The following is a 13,747-nucleotide window of genomic DNA, read 5'->3' as shown; positions in this document are numbered from 1 at the left end:
CTAATTCACTTGTTTGGCCCTCACTTGGGGCTAATGGGGAGATCTTATATTTGTTCTGTCTCTTTGATAGAAAAATTACTCTCCTGACACTTGATAAACAAACCTTGCATCATCCTCTATTGAAAATTAAGTTAAAATAACATTTTTTTTTTTTTTGAGATGGAGTTTCACTCTTGTTGCCCAGGCTGGAGCACAGTAGTGTAGTCTCGGATCACTGCAACCTCCGCCTCCCAGGTTCAAGCGATTCTCCTGCCTCAGCCTTCTGAGTAGCTGGGATTACAGGTGTGCACCACCACATCTGGCTAATTTTTGTATTTTTAGTAGAGATGGGGTTTCACCACATTGGCCAGGCTGGTTTTGAGCTCCTGACCTGAAGTAATCCACTCGCCTCGGCCTCCCAAAGTACTGGGATTACAGGCGTGAGCCACCGCGCCCAGCCTAAAATAATATTTATTGCATGCTTTGTATCCATACTTCCAACTATGAATTCAGACATTTATTGAATGTCAAACACCTGCTGACACGTATCCATAAATTGTTCCTTTTAACTCTTCCAAAACACCCTCTGAGATATTATTAAGATTGGCATTGTTGTTGTTATTATTAGTGCCCCTATTAAAAATATTTTGAAATAATTATAGATTCACAGGAAGTTACTAAAATAGTATGTAGATTTCAGAATATGCTTCACCCAACTTTCTCTATGGCGGATGTGTTCCTTTAATTTTTCTGTTTGTTTGCTTGTTTATTAATACACAAGGTACTGAAACTCTGAATAGCTACATAGTTTGCCAACTTCCAGCTAGAGAGGGGTAGAGACTGGGGTCAAACTGGATCCATCTGACTCCAAAGTATAATCTCCCTCCCCTGGTTTTTGGCGCATGGGAAGGTGTAACTGATGAGTGAGAGACCAGCTGGAGTTTGGAAACTCTTCTGGGACCATGAGTTCCAGTGTGTAATTTCCCACATCCCAATCTGCTTCAGGAGGCCACTGATGTAGCTAGCAATCAGTCCTGCAGTAGTTTTATGTTCAGGTGGGAGAAAAGCTTGGGTTGACTTACTTAGACTACAGATAAGAACAAAAGTAGAAGCTCCTGACAGCTCGAGCTCCTTTTGCTGGCACCAAGCTCTGTTCTTACAAAGAACAGTGTGGAGCTGGAGGAGACCCTATAAATATGCAAATGTAGGGAAATCTTGCACCGGGTCATCAACTGCCTAGATGGGACGAAAGGGAAGGCACATTACTGCAGGTAGCCAGCTCCAAGAAATCTCCACATTTCTGAGAATCTCTGAGTAGTTAGTGATTGTAAATAAAGAAGCCAAAGACAGCCAATTTCATTTTCAGGGTTTTGGATTACTCTGTGAGAAGTGCATATATAAGCAAATGCATTCAATAATAGCCCTAATATAGTAAGAAGCTTTCCACTGGCTTCTCTCTTGCCTTTCTTTTTTTTTTTTTCTCCCTTCGAATTGATATCTCTCAAAGCCTTAAGTCAAACTGTGTTTTATTAAGAGAATGGGTTATTTGAGATATGGTTGTGACATTCACCAGGGCTGAGCCTAGCTGTCGTTCTGCCAAGATCCTTCATGCTGAATCTGGATTTCAGTAAAGAGAGAGCCATGCCTTGCTCAGTTTTTCTTGGCTTGGATGATTCTGCTCAGTTCCTACCCAAGTGGCAGGGGTTTTGCCAAGAGCAGGATGATTTCCTGGCCCCTGGGACAGTGTCTGTTGATAGTGTGGGTGGTTCACAGAAGCTAGATGCATCCAGCCACATGAGCTCGGCCTTTTTCTTCATGAATGTGATTCTAGAACATCATACCATTGCTACTGGGACTGCCATGAGAGGGGACAAAGGGCTGCAGGCACCTTGGAGTTAGACATGGCCAAGAAACTAAAGAGGGCAGAAGAAGCTCTTGGAATATGAGATCCCTGGCAACTTGAACTGAATCCTTAAATTCACTCCATGCTTCTTTTTGAGACAGAGTCACGCTCTGTTGCCCAGGCTGGCATGCAATGGCATAATCTAGGCTCACTGCAACCTCCACCTCCCAGGTTCAAGTGATTCTCCTGCTCAGCCTCCTGAGTAGCTGGGATTACAGGTGCGCACCAACACGCCCGGCTAATTTTTTGCATTTTTAGTAGAGATGGGGTTTTGCCATGTTGGCCAGGCTGGTCTTAAACTCCTGGCCTCAAGTGATCCACCCACCCCGGCCTCCCAAAGTGGTGGGATTACAGGTGTGAGCCACCATGCCAAGCCACTCCATGCTTTAAAACCATCATCCTCTTGTCTGTTTTTCTTGAACCAACATGTTGCTGGTACCATCTTATGAAAAGAACTTTCTCAGTAGCTCTTCCAGATTTCCTGACAATATTCACTTCTTCAAACTGAAGTGAACTTCCTACACATCACCACCCCACACCCTCACAAGCTTCACTAAGAAGTGGTTTTATGATTGTAAGGTGATGGGACCCCCCCCTTAATGATTGTATCATCACCTTAATGATTGTAAGGTGATGGGACTTCCCTAAGAAGTGGTTTTAATGATTGTAAGGTGGTGGTGGAATGGAAGGCCCCCAGATCTCCCATTTTGTAATGTCACCAAATGTTGGCATAAGAAAAGGAATGTGGTAGAAATTTAGTCTCTTTCTTTTCTCTAGTGGGAATTTATCCTCTGGGCCCACAGGAAGAAAAATAGTATTTTCTAGCTCTTCTGACTTGAGATGCCAGGAAGCTGAATGATTTTTGTCACTTGGGGAGTTGATTGCTTTCTTTTTGAGGTTATTTAGATTCACTTAAGCAAGGTAAGAAGGCAAGCTTAGAGCTATATTTGGAGACAATGAAGGAGATGAAACCCTATATCAAAGAAAACAGGCAGCACTGATATTTTGTGGTCAATTGTAATTTGGGGGAAACTTTAGGGGACGAAGACCAATCTAGTACAGATCCAAAAATGTGGTCTGTCCCTGGAAATAGGCAAGTTCACTAAACCACAAATGACACACAGCTATATCCAAGTGAATGGAGCTGTAAAGCCAGGTTCCCCCACAGCACTGGTGTGTTGGAGTTAGTTTGTAGCAGCTCCCAAGAGGCCCCTGTCAAATTTTCAGAAATTCTATGAGTCATTCTTAAAAACAGCCATTATTAAAAATTAAATTATATAACTTTACAATCAAATCAATTCTATTTGAAAATAAAATTCCCCCTTTCTATTTTTATTTATAAAAGTAGAAGACAGTTATTTTACTACCTTCTACTATTATCTATATCTTATTATTTGCATGTATCGTAATATTGAATGTATCCCATTTATCTCTTCCTAACTCCACGTTTGGTGACTTCAAAAGTAGCTTGAAATTGTCCATGGTGGGAGTATTTTCACCACAGAAATGAACAAATGCTACGGATCAGGGTTACCCCTTACCACAGTGTTTTGTTTTGTTTTTTGTTGTTGTTGTTTTGTTTTGTTTTTTGCCCCGGAAAGCCTGTTGTAAAACATTTACCAGCATACCGCTAACCTGTAAGACCTATCTCCTGATAGTTAAAACCAGGTGCTAGACTTCCAGAGTCAGGGAGACATGTCTATGCATATTGTCTAGGGAAGTGGTCCCTAACCCCCAGCCACTGACCTTTAAGGAACCGGGCTGCACAGCAGGAAGTAAGCAGCAGCAAAGCTTCACGTGTATATACAGCCACTCCCCATCACTCCCATTACCGCCAGAGCTCTGCCTCCCGTCAAATCAGCAGCAGCATCAGATTCTCATAGGTGCACGAACCCTATTATGAGCTGTGCATGTGAGGAATCTAGGTTGTGGTCTCCTTATGAGAATCTAACTAATGCCTGATAATCTGAGGTGGAATAGTTTCATCCTGAAATCCTCCCCTCAACACCCATCCATGGAAAAATTGTCTTCCACAAAACCGGCTCCTGGTGCCAAAAAGATTGGGGACTGCTGGTCTAACGCCATTTCTCAGAACCGACAGTTGGTGTGAATCTCTTCACATTTGAAACAAGAGGCAGGAAGATTCATGGGGGTCCATGGGAACTGAATGATGTTAATTCATATCATTTCACCTTATTCTTACTCGTAAATTAAGAGCCTTTCCTGCCACTTACTGTCTGTCATACAGAAGGTTGGCTGGTTAAGGTAAGGAAGCTGATGTCCTCACGTCTCCAAGAATCTTCTCTTAAGGCCTCTAGGGCTTTGACTTATAGAGCAGGGATGTTAGTAACTGTATTCTTTCTCGCGAATTCTTGCCTCTTTCTTGGTACATTGCACTCTTCATGAAACCTGAAGTTACTACTAGAAAGGACATCTTCCTCTTAATATAATGATTTTGTGAGAAATACGTTAAATTTTCCTAGAATGCCATTTGTAGATATAATCATTACATGAAAAATGTAGAAAAAAAATCTTAGCAGGCTTTAAACACCAGGTGTGTTTTTGTTTAAATGAAGGGGATTCAAATGTACATCATTAAAAACCATTAGCAATAAAAAGTACGCAGCGTACATTAAAGGATTAATTTTTCCACTTGAAGGGGATCTTAAGGGTTTAACATGGCTTACTCTTTTTCCTCTCTCTCCTAGAATAATGTAGATGTGCTTTATTTTGCTTGCCCTTCTAAATTGATCAAATTGCTGTCAATATTTGGAAGAAGAATTAGAAAAAAAGTTCAACATACTATGTCTTTGTTTGATCCTCTAGAAACAAGACCACTCTGTCCCCTCCGAGCGCATGGCCGTGGACAGAGCCGTGCTTTAATTTCTGTTGTCTTGCCAAGTCAGAAAGGAATTCACTGTTCTCAAGGTCTCTGGACTATCACTTTACCCAAAACATCCATCCCAGGCATTGGGGGAGGCAGAGAAGCTGTGCATAGCTATTTATTTTAAGTGCCTGATTAAAATTTCATGAAAACAGGAAGTCAGGGGAAAAGAATAGATTGCAAGAGCGATGAAATCCGGGGCTTTGTAATTTTTAGCTCACAGGGAAAAAAAAAGCGTTAAATCGTAAGGAAGGTATATTTTCAGAATCGTGCTGTGGCCACTAATGGCATATTTTGTCACTGGCTGGGGAGCTGGTGGACTAAGAATGGGTCCAATTTTTTAAATCTTATTACACAGTTTTGCACTCATTTAGAAATTGTCACCTTAAAGTAACCTAATGCTGCTCTACTTAAAGCAAACCTCACGTGGCTGTATCTGTGTGCGTGTTGGCCACATTGTCTCCTATTTAAGCAGATATAAATGTTGTCCTGACACAGTTGAACAGCACAGAATCTGTCTGCCCCATAAGTTGATGTTGCCTAAGTACTTAATCTTATCTAATTCCCATATCCAATGGGATAAAGAATTTTGGGGAAAGAAAGTAATGACATATTTTATTGCTAGATGATAACAGAATGATTTCTATATTTGGCCAGTGAAAAATAATGTGTTTCTCCAAAGAAGTAGCTGTCGAGGAAAACCAGAATTCTAAACAAAACAAAATAAGAAACACACACTCAAACTAAAAAATGTATAATGCAACCAAGTGCAATGATGGAGGAACCTATGAAGGGTAAAACACTCTTGTTCTGCTGCTGTTCCTAGAAACCTCAAAATTGCTGATGAATGTTGGATAGCCAACTTTAACCTTTGGGATCTCATGCCGAGCTCCCATTTGGCTGACCAGACAGGAATAATTGCAACAGGCTAATGGTTAGATAAGTTTCATTTGCCAGTTGCAAATAAATCCCCATCTACAAAACCCAGCCTCAAAGTCCAGTCCCAGAGGAAGGCGTTATCCTTAAGAGAGATGGGTCACAGTGGAGCAGGCAATCTGAGCAAGAAGGTATTGCATAGCCCCCGGCTAATGCAGCAAATTAACTCCCCCTGCGGAAGGGTTAAGTCGTTTAGATCTCTTTCCAGGCCTCCTGCTCTCCCGTTGAAACTGACCCGAACAGGGATCAGAGGGTTTATCAAAGAGGAAAAGCAACCAGGGATGCTGATGGGCGCAGTTGGATGCCAGTGAGTCCCTTCAAAAGCTCCTCAAATCCCCCAGGGCCTGAGTAAGCTTGAGTATCTGGGGAAACCCAGATATCTCCGGGAGAGGTGTGTGTGTCTATTTATACTGGATGGCTTGGGGTAATTTCATGCCGATGATCACAGGATCATGACAACTATATTATTCCAAGATAGTGGGGAAGAAAAGAAATAAGCCACAATAAACTTTGCAGATTCCCTCTACATTGAAAGAATGATCATCTAATTGAGGCTGTTATTGACCTAATGAATTCATTTCTGTGGAACTGAATCTATCCATAGGCTTTGCTGGATAACGATGCGCATGATTTTAGGACTTAGCACTTGAAGGATGTATATGGCATTGCACGAGTTATTTAATCTCTGCATCTCAGCTTCCCCTTCTGTAAAATGGAGCTTCTAACATTTGTTAAGGTCACTACTGAGCACCTTTGTGACCACTGTCTCCAGAATCAGCTTATCTCGCCTTGCAATTCTTCGTGTACTCATCTGTCTTCTTCACTAAACTCTTGAGGCAGCCAGCATCTCTCATTTACCTGTCCAGTTGTATCACTCAGCAAAGTGTCTGGCTGCAGTTGGTGTTCAGCAGTAAATATTTTAGAATGAGTGAACAAATGAATGAACCCACGCTTATAGATTGTTATGAAAATAGAAATAAGTAACATGTGTGAAAGTTATTTTAAGACTTCTAGAGCTTCAACATAACCTCATTTCCTATACTGAAGTCTGGTCTAGTACACAGAAAAGTCCTCTGTAGTCTCCCTCCCTTCAGTGGGAGAAGAATCCATTCTGTTCACCCTAGAGAATTAGTTACAGAAGGATATGCCCTCCTTTGCTATGGTAGAGAATTCCTGTTAGAACAATCATGGCTAGAAGATGAGTCAAACAGATGCCCCTTTGGTTTTGCCACATGGAAATTCTTATGTTCTCATATCATAACAATATCTGCTATCAAACAGTATTGACCAACGGATCAGAAAAAGCTCAAGATGGAAAAACCATTAGATGCCAGGAGAGAAATACCTAGAGGGTAAAATTTTTATGATGACTCTTATGCTATTATCATGAAGTAAATCCTCAAAATTGTCTTTCCGTCATTCTGCCTTTCTCCCTGTGCGGGGTAAGATTTTGAGGTGGAAAGACATCATGTCTCTTCTCTGGAATTTGAAATCTAAGCATGATGTTCTCAGGGATATGCCAGCACTGTGAGTTCTCCAACTGCATGGTGTTCATGAAACAAGTTTCTCCAAGGAGCTCCGAGCATTTACAGCCTTAATCCATTAAATGTTTAATCCTTAAAACATTCGTGATATTAGATGACTTTTGCCCAAAGCCCCAGCAAGCAAGCCATCGTTGGATTGATCTCAATCCAGGAAGCCTCTTTTATTTAATCATGGGCTTCTCTGTACTCCCAGAGCACTTTACTGGGACCCTGCATGCAACATTCAGGTTGCTTTGCCTTTGGATGCATGAACTGTGCATGCATTTGTCTCCCTGGCTTGAGTGTAAACTCCCAAAGAGCAGGGGCAAAATTAGGAAGGCTGTTGACATGCTTACCCTGTGCCGGCTACAGGATAGTCACCCTATGTCTATTGAACTGATCAGCTGTATTTTTGAGTTGATAGTTATTCCTTCAACTTGTGCACACAAGTGGTGAGGACTCTGCAAACACAACTCCTTTAGCAGCTCTGTTGGGGGTGGTGGGGCGTGGGGAAGGTACAGGCCACCATTTGCAGGCTGGTTTCTCATCTGTGTCATGGAGTCACTGAGGAACTGCCTTGCATAGGCAGGAAGACTCATGTAAAAAGAGAAATGTGGCTTCTATCCCAGGGGAGCTGAGAGCTCAATGGAGATCAAACAGCACTGGAACAGTGGAGAGTCTGGGCTGAAGTTCCCTTGATCTCAACCCAGGCTCTCCTTCTAAGTAGCTGTGTGTTCTTGAGCAAGATGCTCAACCCCTCTGAATCTCATGGTTTCTCTGTCCACCCCAGGATGCTGTCTCTATCCCCCTACACACCTCAGATTCTCCGCCTGTGTGCTTGCTACACTCTGAGCTGACACCTCTTTCTTCACAGTGACTCCATTTTCTTGCAATTGCCATTTTCCTGGCTGTTTCTTCAATGAGAAGTCGATCTCCTTGGAGGCAGGGACTACATATTATTTATCTTTATTTCCCCAGAGCCCAGCATTGTTTCTGGAAAATTAAGATGATGATTCTAATATTTATTACATAGGATTGTGAGATAGAAATATATTTATTAGAGTGCTTAGTATGGTGTCTTTTTCACATAGAAAGCACGCATTATAATTTATTCAGTAACTGTTTGAAATGAGCTGTCCTATTGAAATCAGTGGTATTACCCCATTTTATAGATGGGAAAACTGAGTCTCGGAGACAAAAGCAAGTGGGAGGTTCTTGCACTGGAAAGATGTGGCTGCGTGATGCGTGGACTTTGTTGGTGGTGAGTTTGCAGAGGGTGAGAGAATTTTTTCTTCTAAGAGATGTTGACTATGTAGAAGAAGGAGGGTCTTGTTCAGGGAGATGGGGAAACTGCTGGCTGCAAGCCTTCAGCCTTAGAATTCCGAAGTCCACCACAGGAAGAACCCAGAGATCCTGTACGAAATGCGTCCTGAGGATTAATGGTGGGCTGAATGCTGAGTGCGAACTTTTCCCTTTCCTCATCTGCATTTGAGAGATCTTTATTTTTCCTTTTTAAAGATCAATGTGCTATATTTCTTTTTTCTGAAGGAACATCCATTAAACCAACAGTGGTTGAAACTGAGGACAATTCCCCATCATATAATTAACCCCCTTGGGGTGCCATTAAGATCCAATGATATGTTGCGATTCTATTAACGAAAAGTAAATAGGGAAAGTATGTACTGTGGAGCTTGGGTTTAGAATTCCCAGTCACTTGAGCATAAGATGTTCACTTTAACTGCCTGTGCTCCTTGCCCTCCTCAACAACGTCTAAGCGCTTTCGATGCATTCTTGCTTTACTTCATTATTTTATTGAATTCTCCAGGAATGTATGATACAGTGGTTAGGAAAAGAAATTCTAATATAGCCAGGCTCCAGCATTACTAACAGAATGATCTTGGGTAAGTTACTTGAACTCTCTGAGCCTCAGTTTATTCATCTAAAATATGGTGATGGTAACTCCTTCTTTCTAGGGGTGTTGTAGGACGGAAGTAGGGTAAGCAAATGAAGCACTTAGCAGGGTCCCAGGCACATGGTGAATACCCTTCCCTTGCCAATGCCAATGTTCATCAGGAGCAATAACAACCTTCCCAGCAGTTGGGTGCCCTGGGTGTCCTGCTCTTGCTTTCAGGTGCAGAAATACACTCTAGCAGGTAGACTAATGTGGCCCAAGACCACCCAAGCACAGGGTTGGGACAGAAACCAGATCTGATTTGCCCCAAAGCCAGTGCTTTTTTTCTCTCTGTCTCTCTAGCACTGCCAGAACAGCATTTGCTTTCAAGTTGGCCACCATTTTGTGGTAGGGGCACCAACTAGACAGTAAATAAGAGAAGCCATATTTATTTATGTACTACTTATCCAGATTTCAGAACCCTGGGGGACGCATGCAAGCACACACACACACACGCACACACACACAGAGAGATAGAGAAGAGAGGCTAGGGTGTGGGGAATGAGGTTAGGACCACGAGAGCCCTTTGTGTGCCATGGGGCCAGCTCCTGGTGATGAGAAGGAGGTCATATGGCTGCAGAGGAGATGGGAAATGTACGTGGTAGGGAAGCAGGGCCAGACACTGAAGGGTCTCTTAGGCAACGGTGAGAACTTCACCATTTTACTTCATGGAAGGATAGAAGGGCTCGAACCAGGAGTGCCAGTTGATCTGAATTATATAAGATGGCCCCAGCTGCTAAGAAGAGCTGGCATTGGAAGACATGAGCAGCTGGCAAGAGGGGATGTCAGAAGCAGAGTTAGCAGGCGCCTGCTGAATGGTTGAGCCATTCATATTCAGAACTCAGAAGAGGCCCTAGTCTTTGCAATACCTATGCGAACCTTTTGACCCAACGTGTGTCAGCACACGCTTGGGGTATTTACTCAATGCAGTTCCAGCATCCCCTCCTGCCCAACTCCACCTGCACAGACAGAGTTCCCTTCCAGAGGGAGAAGGTCTTGCATTGACAAACATGCGCTGTCCCGGATGGAGGACACATGGCCGTGCCAGGAGGGCCAAGGCAGGATGGGCGAGCAGTCAACAGGGTCCAGGACTCTACCTTTTTTCCCCACATGGTGACAGATCACAGGACCACAGCTGGCTACCTGCGCTGTGAACACAGGGTTCAGAGGACGCTCAGCGTCACACCGGCCCATGAGTTAGGACAGGAAGTGCAAACCAGTACAATTACAGCAGTGAAAACCACAGGCAGGATACTTGGGTATACGAGAGCAGTGTCGCCTGGCTTGGACTCCTGCCAGGCCACCCGGGCTACAGTCCCTTCTGGTCTCCAAGGGCCAGTGGATGGTTACCGATGACAAGCGATAAGGAACTGGGTTTTGTACTGCAGCAGAAAGGGAGGGACAGAGAGTGGTAAGGGAGGCCAGAACATGCTGCTTCGTGCTTGAAGGTGGAAACTAAGGGCTCCTGGCAGCAGCTCTCCCTGGAAACGTGTTCTGGGTTAGAGACTCCCCGTAGCATTCTATTTAGACAAAGCAAGAGGCAGACCGTAGATGTTCTCTCCATCATGGGCAGAGCTGACCTAACCTCTGGGAGTTGCAATTGCATAGCATGCCTTTCTTCACAGCTGGAATGCATTATACCCCATCTCATGGGGTTCCATTATCTTCAGAGATCTCTGAGGTGGTCACATGGCTGTTTCTGGGTATCCCGAGCTCAGAGTAACAGCTCCAGGTTTGGGGGCTTGGACAAGTCAGTGAACCTCTGTGGTTCTCCATGTACAAAGGAGAGGATCTCTGCCACAGTGATGTTGTGAGGATCAACCAAGATAATAGGCAGGAGGAACTTTGGAAAGTGAAATATAATTGCAAGGCATTAGTAATATTATTATTACACTAAGACATGTGATAGATGCATGGCTCTTCCATTCCTAGGAGCTTATAGTTCTTGTGTAAGTAATAGAGTTAATAATGCTAGCTAAGATTTATAAAGCTTATTTACTTATTTATTTATTTTTTGAGACAGAGTTTCACTCTTGTCACCCAGACTGGACTGCAGTGGCATGATCTTGGCTCATGGCAACCTCCGCCTCCTGGGTTCAAGCAATTCTCCTGCCTCAGCCTCCCGAGTGGCTGGGATTATGGGCATGCGCCACCAAGCCTGGCTAATTTTTGTATTTTTAGTAGAGATGGGGTTTCTCCATGAGGTCTTGAACTTCCGACCTGAGGTATAAAGCACTTATTATATGCCAGGCACTGTTTTCAATGTTTTACATATATTAACTTTATCCTCACGATAACTTTACTATGTAAAGTGTTATCAGCATTTCACAGATGTGGAAACTGAGGCACCAAGGGGCCAAGTAACTTTCCCAAAGTCAGATAGCTGGTCACAGTTGGTGCTAGGATCACATCCAAAGCAGCTGACTGCAGAGCCTGTGTTTCCCTACTCCTCCTCCACGTAGCCTGTTGAGTGAGAAGATCTACCAGTGGTTTTCAGGATTCCCCATGAGAGTTCTACAAGATGTATCTGTCTAGATTCAGAGCTTGTGTTGTTAATGACTTCTCCAGCCAGCCAGGGAGCTCACTGTTGAGATGCCCAGAGAAGGACACCAAAATTCCCAGGCAAGCCATCGAATGGCTTCCCAAGGAGCAGGCAAGATGTCTTTGCCAGTATCATGCACTGGCACAGGTTCTAGGTTCATGTTCCTTGGGTGAAACCTCAGGTCCCCCACTTTCTAGCAATGTGACATTGGGCAAATGATTTATCCTCTCAAAATCTCTACTTCTTCACCTGCCAAATGGGAGATACTGTGGGCTGTGTCATAGCACGGTTGAGAGAATGTAATAAACTAATGTCTACAAAGGTTAATAGGATGCCCGGCATCAAGTGAGTGCTAATCCATTTTCATATATATGATTAACTAGTAGCACAACGAGGAAAAGCAACTACTGTTGAGTTTCCAGACAAAAGAAGCAGAGCTGTAGGTCTTGGCAAAAAGACCCTGCCCTTGGTCCACTATTGTGGGTATGTTTTCAGAGCTCCAACTTTGTAGTTAAAGGCTGACTAAGCCAAAAGCGGTGGCTCATGCCTGTAATTCCAGCACTTTGGGAGGCCGAGGCGGGTGGAACACTTGAGGTCAGAAGTTTGAGACCAGCCTGGCCAACATGGTGAAACCCTGTCTCTACTAAAAATACAAAAATTAGCCGGGCATGATGGCGGGTGCCTGTAATCCCTGTGACTTGGAAGGCTGAGGCAGGAGAATCACTGGAACCCAGGAGGCAGAGATTGCAGTGAGCCAAGATCCTGCCATCGCACTCCAGTCTGGGTAATAGAGCGAGACTCCATCTCAAAAAAAAAAAAAAAAAAAAAAAAGACTAAACAGTCCACTCAAAACCTCACTCTGGGAAAGGAGCTCCAAGACTTGAGGGTTAACTGGATTTGAAAGACTGGAATGATCACTTATTTGAACTTTATTTGTTGTTTAAATTATTGAGAATATGTTTGCTGCCAGGTTACTCTGGGTAAGCAGCCCAAGTTAAGAAAATAAATTATGTAATTAAGTGAAACAGCACAATGACAAAGTGTGTGAGCAAGCCATCGGCATGTCTGTCTGTCTTATTATTAGGCAATCGTTTGTCTCCACATGTTTCCCACATCAGTACTCTCTGGTGCTGCTAGGCTGAAGCCAGGTGGGAATGGTTGGTCTTTGGGCTTTTTCCTCTAACAGAGGAAATCAGGCCCAGGTAGGCTCAGAGCCAAGGAATGAAGATTAGAACTCAGACCTCAGTGGTGATAGAATCTACAGTATAAACTAAAAGATAAACACCTGGCTGGTACCAGCTGATGCCAGATAGCTAAAACAGACAGCCAAGACAAAAGAGCAGTGTGCTATGGTCCTGGAGAAAAAAAAAATAAAAAAACTTGGGGTTCCATTCACAGATCCTAGAAGATTCAGTGTGGAAACTGCCTTAGAAAGCCTCTGGTTCAGAGGTTCTCAACCTTTTCCTAGCCATGCAAAATTTTGTTTAAAGAAATCGTATGAAAAAGCAACAACAATGTAGTTGAAGGTCTAGCTGCTTTAAGATTAAGAAAAGAACTTGGCCCTGAGACGTTAGCTCTGTCTTTCCTTGTTCTTTAGTAGATTCCATGGAACCTCTAGAGCTCCAGGGTACACAGTCTGGGAAACACCAGATAGTGGAGAAGATCTTGGAAAATGAGCCCAGGGCTTGAATCACTTTTCTCATTTACCAAATGGTAATAATAAAATTGCCATCTTCAGAGACACATTCCATGAGCACATCACAGATGAGTTAATCCACAGGAAGGGATTAGCAGTGTCTAGCACAGAGTAAACATTTGACAAATGTCAACTAAAATCATCATGTATTATATTAATTATTACTACATCTATTACTAGCTTTGGGACCTTAGACAATTTACTTAACATCTCTGAGCCTCATTCATCCTCTCTGAGCCTGGGATAATAATACTCACCTTTGCCTTGTTCTAAGGAAATTTTAAACAAAGAAGGTTTGTAAATCATTTATCATAGCACACAGCAGTTTTCCCC

General features: G+C 43.2%; 1 protein-coding gene across 5 annotated transcripts in view, besides 1 other annotated feature; it reads left to right on the top strand.

Moving 5' to 3' along the window:
* Positions 1-13,747, top strand: part of MAF (MAF bZIP transcription factor) — a 398,116-nt gene that overhangs the window by 70,620 nt on the left and 313,749 nt on the right. The gene's annotated exons all lie outside the window — the stretch shown is intronic.
* Positions 2,203-2,304: a silencer, noted in NCBI's record as "fragment chr16:79561711-79561812 (GRCh37/hg19 assembly coordinates)". NCBI's record gives its function as "represses an EF-1alpha promoter that drives an FKBP-Casp9 reporter gene in an ReSE screen in phorbol 12-myristate 13-acetate-treated (for megakaryocytic differentiation) K562 erythroleukemia cells {active_cell/tissue: K562(+PMA)}" and the evidence as "EXISTENCE:reporter gene assay evidence [ECO:0000049][PMID:32094911]".

Source organism: Homo sapiens, chromosome 16 (genome assembly GCF_000001405.40).
Source record: "Homo sapiens chromosome 16, GRCh38.p14 Primary Assembly".
Lineage (NCBI taxonomy): Eukaryota > Metazoa > Chordata > Mammalia > Primates > Hominidae > Homo > Homo sapiens.
This window is presented reverse-complemented; position numbering and strand designations above follow the sequence as displayed.